Genomic DNA, 19776 nt, shown 5'->3' with positions numbered 1-19776 from the left:
GTTCACTGCCATAGGCTCAGTACCTAGAACAATGCTTACTTGGCAATCTGTAAGTGAATGAACAAAAACAAATGCAATGAAACAAGCTGCTCCTTCTTCCATGAGGAGCTATAACAAGGAGACATAAGAATCTTGGCCATTATGGGACCTGAAGTTAACTCATGGATATCAGTCACTGTTTACTGAAAAGCCACTTAGAGCACTTGCAGCACTTAGACCATCAAGGGACAGACAAATGCAACAGGAGATACCATCCCACCCCTACAACAACTTCCGATTTAGTCACGGGGAGAGGTCACATAGACGCAAACGATGACTTAAGCATACCTAGGAAGCAGAAATACAAGTGAATATGACAAAATCTAGACAGAACACGATGCTGCAGGTAGGCAGGTCCCGATGAGACCACTGGGATTGACTTTAGCCCTTATTATGTCCTAGCAAGGAAGGTTGTTGAAAGAGGGGCTGGACAACCAAGGCAGATGATGCATCCAATTTCCCAGATTAATTTTCAAAGAGGACAGATTATCAGATGTGATGATATTTTGTATATGTCAACTTGGTTAGGTTACAGTCCCTGGTTATCCAAACACTAATCAAGGTATTGCTGTGAAAGTATTTTGCAGATGTGATTAAGGCCCATAATTAGCTGGCTTTTAGGGAAACCATCCAAGATAATATATGTGAGCCTGATTCAATCAGTCAAAAGGCCTCAAGGACAGAGCTGAAGTTCCCCTGAAAAAGAAACTCTGCCTCTGGACAGCAGCTTCAGTTTGTGCCTGAGAGTTCTGCGTGAAAGCTTGCCCTATAGATGTTGCACTTGTCTAACGGCTCCCACAGAGACATAAGCCAGTTCTTTGCAATAAGTCTCTTCATATATATATCCCCTATTCGTCTTTGGTTGAACCCTGACTGATACACCAGCTAAACAGGGTGATCTTGTCCTGCTGGAAAATAATATGGCCTCTTTCTACACTGGGGTTTTAGAGTGAAAGACACCACAGTTCTTTCCATTCAAATTAAGTGTTTGTTTATAATCCAAACACTGTGCCACCTTAAACTGAAACTACAAATGAGCAAGGAAGCCATATTTACCACACCACCACGGGAAACATTCTCCCATTGTTGTTATTGTGTTTTTCTGTATAAATTCTGGGTTTTCAAACTTTCTGTAATAACACTGCCTTTAGAATCATAAAATTGTTTTTTTTTTTAATTCTCTTACCCAGGAAGGGTGCTCAAGAGCAACTAGAGGCAAGTGCTCTACTGTGGCTGCCCTCCTTCCTAAGAGGTGAAGGATGGACAGGTAAGAGGAGGAGATGGTTTGGATTTGTGTCCTCTCCCAAATATGTCAAATTGTAATCCGCAGTATGGGAGGTGGGGCCTGGCAGGAGGTAGTGGATCATAGGGGCGGATTTCCCCATTTGGTGCTGTTCTGGTGATACAGAGTTTTCACAAGATGTGGTTGTTTAAAAGTGTGTGGCACCCCTCCCTACCCCCACCACTTCCTCCCGTTCCGGCCATGTAAAGTGCTGGCTTCCCCTTTGCCTTCTGCCATGATCATAAGTTTCCTGAAGCCTCCCCAGAAGGCTAGCTGATGCTGCCATGTTTCCTGTACGGCCTGCAGAATCATGAGCCAATTAAACCTCTTTTCTTTATAAACTACCCAGTCTCGGGTGTTTCTTTACAACAATGCAAGAATGGACTCATTAGAGGAGGTGCCCTCATCAGCAGCCTTTGCCCGACAACACATTCCACTGTGGGGCTGCCAGGACCCCACTGGGCCGCCAGACACACTTCTGCAGGCTTGAGGTGTGGACGTCCTAACAACCAAGTCATGCCTGGACTGCCTCCAGTAATGCTCCAACAATTGTGCTTACTATGGGAACCAACATCCCCCATAACCTGCTTGCTGTCAGACTCATGCTCCACCTCCTGCCAGGATTATCAGGAGAAGAGGTGTAGGCTTCCCCTCAGCCTCCTCTCTAGAAACCAGGGATCCTCATCTCTGATCCTGTCAACTTAACTCCCTCAGTAACCCCCTATCCCCACCACCCTCTGCCTGATATACCCACTGACCTAATATACCTATTCAGAGATGCAGCCCAGAACTGCAAACAAAGCACAGGCACTGAAGCCAGGCATAATGAAGGAGCTCAGAAGCTTTAGAGGGAAATTTCACCTCTCTGAATTCCCATATCTTTTTATTGCAGACTAAAGCAATTCACCCCATAAAGTTGTTATAAAGAACATAAATTTATGCAAAAAGGTGCTATTATGGCATTGACATGCTTATAATGCTAATATACTCAGTCTATGGCATATGCACATCTATATTTGAGGGAGTTCTTAGGGCAAATGATTTAACCAAAGCAGTAAAAGTGAGAAGGAAAAACATATCCCTTTTTCAGAAGTGACAGCTTCACACTAGTGGCAAAATTGATCAATAATCTATCTATAAAGTGTCTGTCTTTTAAATGTGCATCCATGTCAGAATGTCTTGGACTGCAAGCTCTGAGAAGTCAGAGCCTGTCTAAAAGTCCAAATATGTTCCTCATGGTGCAAAGAACTGGCAATGAACATCTTTGAATGATCTGACAGCAGGATGGGCCCTCCAGGGAGCCATTGGTCTAATCCCTTCAACTTGTTTAGAGATAAACCAATTGGAACCCAGAGGGGTTTGAAGAGGGGGCCAAGGCTACACAGTCAAAGCCCAGTAACAAAGGAATCAGAACCTAGAGCCAACTCTTGTATACCCTCCACTAGAGGCCAGGATGCTCTTAACGTGAGATGACAACTCAAGCCTTCTTTTCCAAGCCTTCTTTTGTTGGCTTCCACAGACAATATATGGTACTTTTGTTGGCCATGCCAAGTAAAAATGTTAAAGTACAGCAAGTCTTCGGAGAATACAACTAGTTCCCAACCATCAGAGAGGGAGGTAGGCTGATGACAAGGAGGCAGATCTGAGAAGTGTGATTACAGACAGATGGTACCAGTTAGCTAGAAAATGTAGAGCTGCATTAAATAAGGTACCAATAAAAATAATAGGGATCCCAGAGCAACTCAGTGACCACAGGCTGCAGAACAGTGAGAAGAGTCGGAGCACGAAGGAGCACTGGCCTGAGCGGTAAACCAGTTAGGAACATAATTTGGGTTTGAATATTTCATCTCCCATAAATTGTTACCAACCACCACTGCCATGGACTGCCACCCTGGCAATGAGGCCCTGAGGACTGCAGGTTGGAAAGCCCACAGAGATGAGCTAGTCCAACTCTTCTTCCAACACTAACCCGGCTTGACTCATTTCTGCAATATTCCTGACCAGGGGCAGAGCAGCTTCTCGATGACTGTGAGGGACTACATCAGCATTCCAAGACATCTATTCCATTTTTGGCCAGAAATATTCTCCTTGTATTTGGCAGGCATTGACCTCTCTGTATGTCATCCTTCAGGAAAGCCTCTGACTGCAGCAACTTTTTTGGTAATAAGGCCACACTGTTGATGTTGCTTCTACTTGATGCCGTTTAAGACGCCAAAATCATTTTCACACATGCCATCAAGCCAGGTCTCAACTACTTATCCCTGTCCTACTGTTTTGAGACTTCAGAGCCCATGGTCTGAAAGAAATATGTCATTCCTCTGGGACAGAGCTTGTTTCTCAGAAATGAGTCCCATCACAAGTCAACAAGCTCTCCTCCACGGTCAAAGGCAGTACTCCTCGCCCCAACCACGCCTACATCACCAGGGGGCTGGGATGAGGATGTGGGGAGCTCTATCCATGCTTTTGGATGAGCACTGCCTCTCCAATGGCTTTCATGTTCTCTCCTGTATTCTCTTTCTGTTCTCCAAACATACCAAGCCAGTTTCAACTATAGGATCTTTAATTTCTACTTGTTCCTTCTGGCTGGAATACTCTAGTCCTATCTGACCTCAGACAAGCCCCCAAAGGCCTAAAGCAGCATCCTAGTCTTATACTCCAGACACTCTGTGTCACATTGCCCAGTTTTACTTCCTACAAACCACTCATCACTGCCTAAAAATATCTTGTTTACTGTCTGTCTTACTCACTAGTTGTAAGTTGTATAAGGACAAGGGAGGATATCCATCTCATCACAACTGTATCCCCAGTGCCTGAGACAGTACCTGGCATAGAGTAAATGCTCAATAAATATCTGCTATTGAATGAATGGACATCAGTGAGTGACTTAATGGCTACAGCTCAGGGCCTGGCATCAGACAGTCCTGGATTCAAATCCTGGCTCTACTATTTATTAGTGCTGCGACTTTGGAAACTATTTAATTTTATCCAATGTCACACAGCAAATACAACTTTAATATGTACATCATAGGGGTTTTATGAAAATTAAATTTTATTATTTTTAAATGTTAGACAGAACTCAAGTTTCCAAACATGCCTGTCACACAGTGAGTACTAAATTGAACTAGAAATCATTGTTACTCATTTGGTGATGATGACAGCAACAGCCTAAGCCATACTCTGATAGGTCATTGGCATCACCTAAAGATATTACATTACTATTTTCAAATTCTGCTAAAAGAAAGAGGTAGTGTGATAAAATAGAGAGAGTGAGGATTTTGAAGTCATAAGATTCTGATTGGGGTCTTAGACTTGACAAGCCATTCCATCACTGATAACAGCCGGTAAGGTAAGGAGGAACAAATAACGTGGTGCATGTATTTGAATCATGTTTGAAATTCTAAAGCAACAAATTTATTAATATAATCCATATTAAAATTTTCCTTGCCCACAGTTTAATATTCCTCAGACCCTGGAGCCTGTGTTCATTTCCTTGGGCATGTTAAAAGTTATTTGGCTGGTGAACATGTGCCCAGACAGGCACAGTGGTCTACATATAACTTAGGGCAAAAACTCTTCCTAAAAAGCACACTGTAAGCTCAACAAAGAATACAGGCACCCCTCACCGGAGGGGAACCGACATGTAGAATTTAATTTATTCAATGAGAGCAAAGCAGTAGAATGCAGCGCAGTGGAAGTTCAGAGACCCAGGTTCGAATCCCAGCTATCCCACTCACTGGCCAAGTGACATGGGGAGGTCACAGTCCCTCTCTAGGTTGATGGCTTTTCAAAGGGTGCTTGAGCATTTGGAAATTGGAAAACAGGTCCTTTTCCATCTTCAGAGACACTGCAGTCTGCAGTTGGCTGGAAGGGATGATGGCAGAGGTCAGAGCCAGATTAAAAGAGAATCATAATCTAGATTAAGAAGTCATCTTTCAAATGGTCTCCCTGGGATGCAAACTTGGGTTGTCTTCCTCTGTGATCACGAATTTAAGGGCTTGGTGAGCTGAACTAAAACAGGAATGAATTGCAGATACCCAGTGTGCATTCTGTTTCCCTCTAGGAACTTATCTCGGATGTACAAAGACATTATAAAAATGAAACTTAATAGAGACCCATTTTACATAGAACTTTTCAGAAATTCCCTTCTTCTGAGCCCTATTTATGCTAAGAATGCTATTTTCATTTAATGTTTTACCACTGAAAAGCTTAAACATACACAAAAATAGAAAGAATAGTACAATGAATAAACGCATTACTCAGTTTCAGTCACCACCAACACAGGGCGACTCTGGTTTCATCCATACCCACCTGCTTCCTCATCAGCCCTTTATTTTAAAAACAAATCCCAAATAAAATGTCATCTATTTCAGAAGTAAATAATTCAATATGCACCTTTAAAAGATAAAGACCTTTCTTTAAATATAATTGCCACAACGCTATCTCATCTGAAAACAACTAACAATTTGTTTTATCAGATAGCCAGCCAGTGCTCAAATTCTCCCTGGTTGTCTCAAAATTGTTAAACACTTTGTTATCCTTAAGATCCAAATAAGGTTCACACACTGTAACTGGTTAATTGATATGGTTTGGGTGTGCTCCCACCCAAATCTCACCTTGAACTGTAATAACCCCCATATGTCAAGGTGGGGCCAGTTGGAGATAATTGAATCATAGGGGTGGTCTCCTCCATACTGTTCTCATGGTAGTGAATAAGTTTCACAACATCTGATGGTTTTATAAATGGGAGTTCCCCTGCACAAGCTCTCTTGCCTGCCACCATAGAAGATGTGCCTTTGCTTCTCCTTTGCCTTACGCCATGATTCTGAAGCCTCGCCAGCCATGTGGAACTGTGAATCCATTAAACCTCTTTCCTTTATAAATTACCCAATCTCCAGTATGTCTTTATTAGCAGTGTGAGAATACATCTATGTTTAATCTATAAGTCTACCCTCCATCTTTTTTTTCATATCTATTGGCAACTATTGAAACTCCAGGTTATTTTTCTGTAGTTTCCTACTTCTAAATGTTGCTGATTGCACTCCCATAGTTTTATTTAACACATTCCTCTGCCCCCTGTATAAATCCTTTTTTTTTAATGTTTGTTAAATTTAGAGGCTTGTTCAGATTAGGCAATCTTTTTGGCAATATTTTTTCATGTTGTCAGCAGCCATTGTTGATCATTGCCTAGATCCATGAACTAGGAATTACAAAATAATAATGATGTGATATCATTCCCTCTTCATCTCTCCTGTAGCTACTTTTATAAAGAGAAACTTTCCTTCATTACCAGTTTGGTCATCCTAAGGCATAGTTTGTAAAATGCTTATTTCTTTCCCTTTATTTACCAGTTTTCAAAGTAATTCATTAATTTCCTAGCATCCTGCAAAAGTGACTGATTTTTTTTTCTTGAGTATCACTACAAACTCATGTATTTAAACCTGTGTGATATGTTTCAATCCAGTGCTGTATTATCCAATATGATGTTCAAACTTGACCAGTAGGAACCTCTTCACGTTGGTTCCTGAGTCCTTCTACAACATGACCCTGGGAGTCCTCCAGAGTTTCCCTGCTTGCTGTTGTAAAAAGATGAACCAGGCACATCTTGTATATCTCCTGCTCCAAATCTGAAAGCAGCCATTGTTTCAAAGAGCCCTGGTTATTTTTTGTAGGAAATGGTATTTGGCAATCACAGTCTGGCACAAGGAATGCTCATTGTTACTGGGCCGGCCATAGTTTCTGGCCCTTCTCTGTGGACAGAGGTAGACCATGTTTCTAAAAAATACTAAAATGCTTTGAGTTCATATTGTATGTCCAACTCAAATTCAAGAATGCAAGAATTTTTCCTAATTTTATTGTTCAAATGTCAATGTTTCCTTCCTCCTATAAATATAATTCGTTGTTTATTCTATCTCACAATACACGTAAGAATCTCAGAATACCAACACCAGTAATGATAATTTAAAAACAGCCTACAGTGTTTTCTGCACTTTGGGTACCTTTATGATACACGCCGATAGGGATATACAATCAAATCCCTGTGTTTTAAAGCCAGTTGGCTGAGTTCCTGTCTGTTCCTCTCTGTGGGTTATGCTAACCAGCTCAATACACACTTAGATTTATTTGGTTTTCTCAGGGATTATATGTTTTTTATTTCAAAATTATGTTAAGGCCAGGCACAGTGGCTCATGCCTGTAATCCTGCCACTCTGGGAGGCCAAGGCAGGAGGAATGCTTAAGGCCAGGAGCTCGAGACCAGCCTGGGCACCATAACAAGACCCCATCTCTACAAAAAATTAAAAACAAAAAATAAATTAGCTGAGTGTGGTGGTGCACACCTATAGTCCTAGCTACTAAGAAGGCTGAGGTGAGAGGATCACTTGAGCCTAGGAGTTTGATTACAGTGAGCTATGACCATGCCACAGCATTCCAGCCTGAATGACAGAGGAAGACCCTGTCTCTATTTTTTAAATTATGTTAAAAATTTGCATGTTTCCATGACCAAACCAAGAAAACAAAGTATATTCAGAAATGGTTAGGTTTTATTCCTTTCCCTCCATCCCATTACCCCTCTTCTCCTTTTTCTATTATTATTCTCTTATGGTTTATTCTTTTAAAAGAAAGCAAATATCAAAGAAAATACGTATTCTCTTATTTCTTAGACAAGTGGTATCTTGTTCTTTCACTTAATATATCATGACAATCACTCTATTACTGATATATTTCCCATTTCTTTTTCATCTTCATAGTTTTCCACCCTATGGAAGCACCACAGCTGACCCAACTGTCCTCTAATGAAGAATATTTCAGTCATTGCAGCTTTTTGCTACTACAAATAGTGTGCCAATGAATAGTAAAACGCATATTTCATAAAAAATATTTTGCCAGTAAATCTTTGGGATAGATTCCTAGAGGATTCTAGGAATTTTGTCTAGCAATCTTCAGATTTACTGTAGATTTAATTGTACTGGGAATTGCCCATTCCCCCACATATTAATAGATCAGCTTTATGCTATTTTGCATTCCCCCAGCAAATAACAATGTACGTATCGATTTCCCCCTACAGTTTGTCAACAGAGTTGTGGTCAAACTTTTGGAATTTTGCCAATCTGATCATGAGAAATGCTATCTGGATGTAATCTACATTACTCTACAAGTCAAGTTGAGCATCTTTTCATAGTATTATAAGCCATTTGTGGCAATAATTCTTCATATTTCTGGTTGTAAGTCAAGGGTCTACTGCTGAACAGTCTAAGAAAGAACATATATATCTGGAATAGAGAAGATGAGAAACATTTAAGGTGATCTAGTAGTGAAAAGAGCCATAAAATACAAGCAAAGAATACCAGCCCCCAGTAGCAAGAAAATGTAAGTTTTTAAAAGACACCATTGGGTCGATTGGAAGCAGCTCCAGTCCGTGGTGCTCAGAGAAAGGAATGAAAGGAGCAAGTGAATTCAGCAACTTCAACTGAGATATCTGAGTTCTCACATTGGGACTGACCAGGCAAACAGCTCAACCCACAGACAGCAAAGAGAAGCAGGATGGGGCAGTGGCCCATCCAGGAGCTGCACGGAGCCAAGGGAACCCCAACCCCCAGCCAAGGAAAGCAGTGAGTGATTGTGCAGCCCTGCCTGGGAAACCATGCTTCTCCCATGGATCTTTGCAACTCACGTATCAGGAGATCCCCTCATGAGCCCACACCACCAGGGATTTGGGTCCAATACAGAGAGCTGTGTGGAATCTCAGCAGAGCAGCCACTCAGGGAGTGGCTCAGCCACACACAGAGACCCAGGAGTTTTGCATACTCTGGCCCCGGCATCCATGGCAAGGTGGGAGATCCATCCATGCATGTCCCTAGGAAGGGGGCTGAGTCAGGGGCCAACTGGCATCATTCTTCGGGCCCCACTTTCACAGCACCACGTGGATTGAGACCCACTGGCTTGCAATTCCAGCTGGCTGGTGGCAGCAGGCTGGAGTCATCCTGAGTCAGGATGGTGTTCCCAGAGGGGAGGACCAGCCACCATCCCTGTGGTTTGGTAGACTCCGTCATTTCAGCCTGGTGGCTTTGAAGAATACAGGCGGTCCAGAGAAGGAGGGTTCCCCCATAGCACAGCTGCCTTGCCAGATCGTGGCCAGACTTCTTCTTTAAGCAGGACCCTGATCCATTCCTCCTCACTGGGCAAGACCTCCTTGTGGGGGCTTCAGCCACTCCAGCAAGGGTTCTACAGAGAGAGCTCTGATCTCTCCCTACTACAAAGCTCCCAGGGGGAGAGGCGGCCACCATCTCTGCAGTTTGGTAGACTTAGCTGTTCCAGCCTGCTGGCTTTGTAGTATACAAATGATCTGAATGAGGAATGGTACCCCCCTAATGCAGCATACCTGCTCTACCAAAGGGCAGCCAGACTGCTTCTTTGGGTGGGTCCCTGATCCCATTCCTCCTGACTGGGTGAGATCTCCCAACAGGGGTCTCCAGCCACCTCCTACAGGTGTGTGCAGAACAGCAACAGGTCAATGCCCTCCTAGGACAGAGCTTCCAGAGGAAGGAGCAGCCTGCCATCTTTGCTGTTTCACAGCCTTCACTGGTGATACCTCTGGGTACAGAAAAACCAAGGCAACTAGGGTCTGGAGTGGACCCCCAGCAAACTGCAGCAGTGCTACAGGAGAATGGCCTGACTGTTAAAAGAAAAACAAACAGAAAACAACACCACCAACAAAAAAGACCCCTCAAAAACCCTATTCAAAGGTCAGCAACCTCAAAAATCTAAGGTAGATAGGCCCATAAAGATGAGAAACAATCAATGCAAAAACACAGAAACTCAAAAACCAGAATGCCCCTTCTCCTTCACATGACCACAACACCTCTCCAGCAAAGGCACAGAACTGGACTGAGGATGAGATGCCTGAGCTGACAGAAGAAGGCTTCAGAAAGTGGGTAATAACAAACTTGGCCTAGCTAAAGGAACATATTGTTACTCAATGCATAGAAGCTAGGAATCATGATAAAACAATACAGGAGCTGATAGCCACAATAGGCAGGTTAGAGAGGAACATAACCAATCTGATGGAGCTGAAAAACACAACACAGGAACTTCACAATGCAATGACAAGTATCAGTAGCAGAATAGACCAAGTGAAAGAAAGAATCTCAGAGACTACCTTTCTGAAATAAGATAGGCAGACAAGAGCAGAGAAAAGAAGAATGAAAAGGAATTAACAAAACCTCCGAGAAATATAGGATTATGTAAAGACACCAAACCTATGACTGAGTAGGGTACCTTTAAGAGATGGGAAAAAAAGGAACCAAGCTGGAAAACATACTTCAGGATATCATGCAGGAGAACTACCCCAACCTAGAAAGACATGCCAACATTCAAATTCAGAAAATGCAGAGAACCTTAGTAAGATACTCCATGAGAAGATCAACCCCAAGACACATACTAGTCAGATCCTCCAAGGTTGAAATAAAGGAAAAAATGTTAAGGGCAGCCAGAGAGAAAGGCCAGGTCACCTACAAAGGGAAGCCCATCAGACTAACAGCAGAACTCTCAGCAGAATCCCTACAAGCCAGAAGAGACTGGGGGCCAATATTCAACATTCTTAAAGCAAAGAATTTCCAACCCAGAATTTCATATCCAGCCAAACTAAGCTTCATACGCAAAGGAGAAATAAGATCCTTTTCAGATAAGCAAATGCTGAGGGAATTTGTCACCAACAGACCTACCTTGCAAGAGCTCCTGAAGGAAGCACTAAATATAGAAACAAAAAATCATTACTAGCCACTACAAAAACTCACTGAAGTACACAGACCAGTGATACTATGAAGCAATCACATAAACAAGTCTGCAAAATAACCAGTTAGCGTCATGATGACAGAATCAAATTCACGTATCACAATACTAACCTTAAATGTAAATGGGCTAAATGCCCCAATTAAAAGACACAGAATGGCAAGCTGCATGAAGAGCCAACCATTGGTATGCTGTGTGCAAAGACATAAACAGGCTCAAAATAAAGGGATGGAGGAAAATTTACCAAGCAAATGGAAAACAGAAAAAAATAAGGGTCACAATCCTAGTTTCTGACAAAACAGACTTTAAAGCAACAAAGATCAAAAAAGACAAAGAAGGGAATTACATCATGGTAAAGGGTTCAATTCAACAAGGGATAACTATCCTAAATATATATGCACCCAATACAGGACTACCCAGATTCATAAAGCAAGTTCTCAGAGACCTACAAAGAGACTTAGACTCCCACAGAGTAGTCGTGGGAGACTTCAATACCCCACTGTCAATATTAGACAGACCATTGAGACAGAAAATTAACAAAGATATTCAGAACCTGAACTCAGCTCTGAATCAAGTGGACGTGATAGATATCTACAGAACTCTGCACCTAAAAACAACAGAATATGCATTCTTCTCATTCCCACACAGCACTTACTGTAAAATTGATCACATAATCAGAAGTAAAATACTCCTCAGCAAACGCAAAAAAAAAACTGAAATAATAACAGTCTCTCATACCATAGCGCAATCAAATTAGAACGCAACGTTAAGAAATTCACACAAAATTACACAACTACATGGAAATTGAACAACCTGTTCCTGAATGACTCTTGAGCAAATAATGAAATTAGGCAGAAATCAACAAGTTCTTTGAAACCAATGAGAACAAAGAGACAACGTACCAGAATCTCTGGGACGCAGCTAAAACAGTGTTAAGAGGGAAATTTATAGCACTGAATGCCCACATCAAAAAGCTAAAAAGATCTCAAGTTAACAACCTAACATCTCTACTAAAAGAACTAGAGAACCAAGAGCAAACAAACCCCCAAAAGCTAGCAGAAGACAAGAGATAACCAAGGTCAGAGCAGAACCAAAGAAGATAGAGACAAAAAAAACCTTCAAACAAATCAACATATCCAGTAGCTGGTTTTTTGAAAAAATTAATAAAATAGACCACTAGCCAGACTAATAAAGAAGAAAAGAGAGAAGAATCAAATAAACACAATCAGAAATATTAAGGAGAAAATCACCCCTGACCCTACAGAAATACAAACAACCATCAGAGAATACTATAAACACTTCTATGCAAATAAACTAGAAAAACTAGAGGAAATTGATAAATTCCTGGACACATATATCCTCCCAAGACTGAACCAGGAAGAAACTGAATCCCTGAATAGACTAAAAAGGAGTTCTGAAATTGAGAAATAGCCTACCAACCAAAAAAAGCTCAGGACCACATGGATTCACACCTGAATTCTACCAGAAGTACAAAGAAATTTTACTGAAACTACTGAAACTATTCCAAACAATTGAAAAGGAGGGACTCCTCCCTAACTCATTCTATGAGGCCAGCATGATCCTGATACCAAAACCTGGCAGAGATACAACAAAAAAAGAAAACTTCAGGCCAATATCCTTGATGAACATCAGTGAAAAATCCTAAATAAAATACTGGCAAACCAAATCCAGCAGCGCATCAAAAAGCTTATCCACCACGATCAAGCTGGCTTCCTCCCTGGGATGCAAGATTGGTTCAACATACACAAATCAATAAATGTAATTCATCACATAACCAGAACTAAAGATAAAATCTACATGATTATCTCAATAGATGCAGAAGAAATGACCTTGGATAAAATTCAACATACCTTCACGTTAAAAACTCTCAATAAACAGGGTATAGCTGGAACATACCTCAAAATAATAAGAGCCATGCATGACAAACCCACAGCCAATATCATATTGAATGGCAAAAGCTAGAAGCATTCCCCCTTGAAAACCAGCACAAGACAAGAATGCCCTCTTCTATCACCACTCCTATTCAACGTAGTATTGGAAGTTCTGGCCAGGGAAGTCAGGCAAGAGAAAGAAATAAAGGGGATTCGAATAGGAAGAGAGGAAGTCAAATTATCTTTGTTTGCAGATGACATGATCCTATATCTAGAAAACCCCATCATCTCAGCCCAAAAGCTTCTTAAGTTGATAAGCAACTTCAGCAAAGTCTCAGGATACAAAATCCATGTGCAAAAATTGCTAGCATTCCTATTCACCAACAACAGGCAAGCAGAGAGCCAAATCATGAATGAACTCCCATTCACAATTGCTACAAAAAGAATAAAATACCTAGGAATATAGCTAACAAGGGAAGGGAAGGACCTCTTCAAGGGGAACCGCAAACAACTGCTCAAAGAAATCAGAGAGGACACAAACAAATGGAAAAACATTCCATCCTCATGGATAGGTAGAATCAATATCATAAAAATGCCCAAAGTACATACTGCCCAAAGTAATTTATAGATTCAATGCTATTCCCATTAAACTACCATTGACATTCTTCACTGAATTAGAAAAAGCTATTTTAAAATTCACATGTAACTGAAAAAGAACCCAAATAGCCAAGACAATCCTAAACAACAATAACAAGACTGGAGGCATCATGCTAACTTCAAACTATACTACAAGGCTCCAGTAATCAAAACAGCATGGTACTGGTACAAGAACAGACATATAGACCAATGGAACAGAATAGAGAACTCAGAAAGAAGACCACACACTTACAACCATCTGATCTTCAACAAACCTGACAAAAACAAACAATGGGGAAAAGATTCCCTATTTAATAAATGGTGCTGGTTGAACTGGCCAGCCATATGTAGAAAACTGAAACTGGACCCCTTCCTTACACCATATAAAAAAATTAACTGAAGATGGATTAAAGACTTAAATCTAAAACTCAAAACTACAAAAACCCTAGAAGAAAATCTAGGCAACACCATTCAGGACATAGGCACAGGAAAAGGTTTCATGATGAAAAGGCCAAAAGCAATTGCAACAGAAGCAAAACTTGACAAATGGGATCTAATTAAACTAAAGAGCTTCCGCAAAGTGAAAGAAACTATCATCAGAGTAAAGAGAGAACCTAGAGAATGGGAGAAAATTTTTGCAATCTATTCATCTGACAAAGATCTAATATCCAGAGTCTATGAGGAACTTAAACAAATTTACAAGAAAAAAACAAATGACCTAATTAAAAAGTGACCAAAGGACATGAACATACACTTCTCAAAAGAAAACATACATGCAGCCATAGGCATGGGCAAGGACTTCATGTCTAAAACACCAAAAGCAATGGCAACAAAAGCCGAAATTGACAAATGGGATCTAATTAAACTAAAGAGCTTCTGCACAGCAAAAGAAAATACCATCAGAGTGAACAGGCAGCCTACAGAATGGGAGAAAATTTTTGCAACCTACTCATCTGACAAAGGGCTAATATCCAGAATCTACAATGAACTCAAACAAATTTACAAGAAAAAAACAAACAACCCCATCAAAAAGTGGGTGAGGGATATGAACAGACACTTCTCAAAAGAAGACATTTATGCAGCCAAAAAACGCATGAAAAAATGCTCATCATCACTGGCCATCAGAGAAATGCAAATCGAAACCACAATGAGATACCATCTCACACCAGTTAGAATGGCAATCATTAAAAAGTCAGGAAACAACAGGTGCTGGAGAGGATGTGGAGAAATAGGAACACTTTTACACTGTTGGTGGGACTGTAAACTAGTTCAACCATTGTGGAAGTCAGTGTGGTGATTCCTCAGGGATCTGGAACTAGAAATACCATTTGACCCAGCCATCCCATTACTGGGTATATACCCAAAGGATTATAAATCATGCTGCTATAAAGACACATGCACACGTATGCTTATTGCGGCACTATTCACAATAGCAAAGACTTGGAACCAACCCAAATGTCCAACAATGATAGACTGGATTAAGAAAATGTGGCACATATACACCATGGAATACTATGCAGCCATAAAAAATGATGAGTTCATGTCCTTTGTAGGGACATGGATGAAGCTGGAAACCATCATTCTCAGCAAACTATCGCAAGGACAAAAAACCAAACACCGCATGTTCTCACTCATAGGTGGGAATCGAAGAATGAGAACACATGGACACAGGAAGGGGAACATCACACATCGGAGACTGTTGTGGGGTCGGGGGAGTGGGGAGGGATAGCATTAGGAGATATACCTAATGCTAAATGATGAGTTAATGGGTGCAGCACACCAACATGGCACATGTATAGATATGTAACAAACCTGCACGTTGTGCACATGTACCCTAAAACTTAAAGTATGATAATAAAATTTAAAAAAAAGAAAACATACATGCAGCCAATAATCATATGAAAATAAAAAAGCTCAACATCACTGATCATTGGAAAAATACAAATCAAAACCACAATGAGATACCATCTCACACCAGTCAGAATGGCCATTATTAAAAAGTCCAAAAGTAGGCCAGGCACAGTGGCTCACACCTATAATCCCAGCACATTGGGAGGCTGAGGGTGGATCACAAGGTCAGGAAATTGAGACCATCCTGGCTAACACGGTGAAACCCCATCTCTACTAAAAATACAAGAAAAAATTAGACTGGCGTAGTGACAGGCGCCTGTAGTCCCAGCTACTCAGGAGGCTGAGGCAGGAGAATGGCGTGAACCCGCGAGGCGGAGCTTGCAGTGAGCCGAGGTCGTGCCACTGCACTGCAGCCTGGCAGAGCGAGACTCCATCTCAAAAAAAAAAAACAAAAAAAAAGTCAAAAAGTAACAGACGCTGGCAAGGTTATGGGGAAAAAGGAATGCGTTTACACTGTTAGTGAGAGTATAAATTAGTTCAGCCATTGTGGAAGGCAGTGTGGCAGTTCCTCAAAGACCTAGAGGCAGAAATACCATTCAACCCAGCAATCCCATTACTGGGTATAAACCCAAAGAGATATAAATCATTCTATTATAAGGATACATACACACATATGTTCACTGCAGCACTATTCACAGTAGCAAAGACATGGAATCAACCTAAATGCCCATCAGTGATACACTGGATAAAGAAAATGTGGTACAGATACACCATGGGATACTATGCAGCCATAAAAAGGAATGAGATCATGTCCTTTGCAGGGACATGAATGGAGTTTGAAGCCATTATCCTCAGCAAACTAACACAGGAGCAGAAAACCAAACACCACATATTCGCACTTATAAGTGAGAGCTGAAAGATGAGAACACATGGACACAAGGTGGGGAAAAACACACACTAGGGGTCTATCAGGAGTTGGGGGGAGAAAGAGCATCAGGAAGAATAGCTCGTGGATGCTAGGCTTAATACCTAGGTGATGGGATGATCTGTACAGCAAACCACCATGGTACACATTTACCTATGTAACAAACCCTGGACATCTGGCACATGTACCCCTGAATTTAAAATAAAAGTTAGAGAAAAAAAAAAAACGACACCGTTAATTGTACCAAACAAAACTGTAAGGCACCTACAAATCAATCCAACAAAAGGTAGATACAAATTTAATTAAGAAACTATCAGCCAGATGCAGTGGCTCACACCTGTAATCCCAGCACTTTGGGAGGCTGAGACTGGTAGATCACTTGAGCCCAGGAGTTCGAAACAAGCATGGGCAACATGGTGAGACCTCCTCTCTACTAAAGATACAAACAATAGCCGGGCATGGTGGTGCACGCCTGTGGTCCCAGCTACTCAGAAGGCTGAGGCAGGAAGACTGCTTGAGCCCAGGGGGCAGAGGTTGCAGTGAGCTGAGACCCCGCTACTGCACTCCAGCCTGGGTGACAGAGCAATATCCTGTCTCAAAAAAAAAAAAAAAAAAAAAAGCAAAAGAGAGAAGAAACTATTATAAATAAAAGCTTATTAAAATTCATTAATGAAGACCTAAATAAATGAAGAGATAAAGCCATATTCATGGACTAAAAGACTAAATATCATAAAGATGTCATTAATCTCAAAAATTATTCTATAAATTCAACATGATTCTGATTAAAAATCTCAACCCAAAAAGACAAATAAAGAAAAAAAACGAATAAATATAAATATACCTATTTTAAAGAACTTACTAAACTGATTCTAACATTTATATGAGAAAGCAAAGGGAGGCCCAAGAATAGCCAAGACCATAAGGTTAGGAATCATCCCGCTAGATCGCAAGACTAAAATAGAGCTATAATAATTAAGATAGAGGTTCTAAATGAAGGAGAGATCAACAGACCAATAGAACTGAATAAACCTTGAAATGGACCTCCACACATATACACTTGACACATGACAGCAACAACATGGTAAAAGTGGTGAACAGACAGAATGAAGTGCTTCAGAACCACTGGTTATCTACATAGAGAAAAAACAAAATTAGAATCTTATTTCAAACCATGCATAAAAATAAATTCCAGATGCAAATGTGAAAGGCAAACTTTAAAACCTTAGAAGATATAGAAGAACACTATTATGATCACAGATTACAGAAAATGTTGAAACAGACAAAGAAAACACAAATAAAAAGGAAAGATATACATTTTACATTTAAATCTTAAAGTTCCATACATCAGAAGATACCATAAAGACAGTGAAAACAGCAGCCACATAGTGGAAAAGACAATTGTTATACACATAACTGAGACCAGCATTTAGATAGAATGCCTATAAGTTAACAAGGAAAAGACAAAAGAACTCAGCTTAAAAATGGGCAAGAGATATGAAGAGGCAATCGCATAAGAGGGAAAAACATAATGACCAATACACATAGAAACTGATGGTTTAACTCACTAGTAATAAGGGAAATGTACTTTTTTTTTTTAATACCCAGCATACTGGCAAAAACTGTTAAGGATAACAAAACCAAGGGTTACCAGGGGTGTAGAGCACAGCAATATGAATGTATATTTTGTCAATTTATATCCCTCCAGCAATCTTACAAGTGGAAGAAACAAAGTGGAGGATGTGCTCAGCTTATGGTCCTACAATTCCACAATTAGATATATAATCTAACAAACTAGTAACTGTGCTCAAGGAGACTTGGAGATTTATACAAGAATGTTTGCTGCAGCAGTCTACAATTGTGAAAAACTAGAAACAACCTAAATGCAATCAACAGAAGAATAAATAAGTTGTGGTATATCTATACAATGGAATAAGATTCAGTAGTGAAAATGAATGAACTAATAAGGGTAAACTTCAAAAGCATATTGTTAAGTAGGAAAAAAGCAAACTTAGAATAAGCACCATATTATATCATTAAATAAAATGTAAAAACATGGCAAACAACACTGTATAATGTTATTGGATATATGCATATGTTTTTTAAAAGTATAAATATATGGGGAAAATAAAATAAATTCAAGATAGTGGTTGTTTCTTGGGAAAAAGAGAAGGAGGAGAATTAAATCAAGGAGGAGTATCCAGGGGACTTCAATTATACATATTTTTTCTTTAATCTGGGTGGCGGATACCTACATGATCTTTATATTACGTATATTTTTGTATGCCTGAAATATTTTGTAATGTTTTAAAAATCAAATTCATGTCAAGAGGCCTGATGGTGGTTCAACTGGTAAAGTTACACTGGAAGACACTGGTTTGATATGAGGGCAAAGTCACCTAACAATTAGAGCTACCTCTAAATAAATACGCTGACATGGAAAGTGAAGACTTCCCCATCATTGGAGCTCTCTGAACAGAAGCAGATGCCCTCCTGTAGAAGACACTGCAGAGGAAAGAACCATTAATGTTCCATTTACCATCCTATCTTCACTGCAGAGCCTATACTTAGGAGATGCTTGATTAATATTTGTTGAATATTGAAATTTGAAAAGCATTTACTGCAAGTCTCCTTAAATGCTAGTGGTAGAAAATTGAAAAGAATAAAAATAACCTAACAGTAACAAAATTAAGAATATTAACTTATACTCACCAACAAGGATTAAACAGGATGAATTAGAAGACAGGAGACTGGAGGAGAGCAAAAGCAAGCTCAGAGAAACTGTCTACATTGGATTTGAAGACTATCCAGTAAATTCCACATGATAAGTAGTCTTTGAAGGGTGCTTTACAGTTTATTCACGTTATTTAATCTCCACAATAATCATGCAAAGAACAGCTTTACTTCATTCTATCAGTTAAAAAACTGAAGCTGACAAAGATTAAGTGACTTGCTCAGTATCTTACAGCCAGTTGGTATCAAGGCTAGTACTAAAACGTAGGTCTCCAGACACCAAACTCCATCTTCTGTGACACAAGTAACCCCACTCACCGGATGAGGGAACCCCACATACAGGCGTGTTGGCAGTCTAATATGGTCCCTACAGAACTTAATACACAGGTAGTAGAAAAGACAATTTAACATTCTGAATTAGCTCTATCAATTACTACATTCTTTCCTTGTCTCCCAACTTCATATTCTAATGCCACAGAGTATACACACACCCAGTGCCTTAGTTGGGGTTGCTATAACAAAAATAATGCCATAGACTTGGTGGGTTAGACAATAGAAGTTTATTCCTCCCAGTTCTGAAGACTGAGAAGTCTGAGATCAAGGTGCCAGGTGATTTAGTTTCTTCCTGGTTTGCAG

General features: G+C 40.3%; 1 protein-coding gene and 1 long non-coding RNA gene across 3 annotated transcripts in view, besides 1 other annotated feature; one reads left to right on the top strand and one right to left on the bottom strand.

Annotated features, from left to right (window-relative positions):
• The window catches only part of LOC105371475 (uncharacterized), a 61354-nt gene extending 60089 nt beyond the window's left edge, over positions 1-1265 (top strand). Inside the window, exon 4 of the long non-coding RNA XR_007066699.1 lies at positions 1230-1265. This is a non-coding gene — a long non-coding RNA (uncharacterized LOC105371475). The remainder of the gene's footprint in view (positions 1-1229) is intronic.
• Positions 1-19776, bottom strand: part of NOS1AP (nitric oxide synthase 1 adaptor protein) — a 300785-nt gene that overhangs the window by 255344 nt on the left and 25665 nt on the right. The window lies entirely within an intron of this gene.
• Positions 3569-3738: an enhancer, noted in NCBI's record as "experimental_577 CRE fragment used in MPRA reporter constructs". NCBI's record gives its function as "activates a minimal promoter by MPRAs in K562 erythroleukemia cells, with activity observed for both the introgressed and non-introgressed 1:162081269 variant alleles {active_cell/tissue: K562}" and the evidence as "EXISTENCE:reporter gene assay evidence [ECO:0000049][PMID:34662402]".

This window comes from Homo sapiens, chromosome 1 (genome assembly GCF_000001405.40).
Source record: "Homo sapiens chromosome 1, GRCh38.p14 Primary Assembly".
NCBI classification, from domain to species: Eukaryota; Metazoa; Chordata; class Mammalia; order Primates; family Hominidae; genus Homo; species Homo sapiens.
Note: the sequence above shows the minus strand (reverse complement) of the source record. Positions and strands in the feature narration are given on the sequence as shown.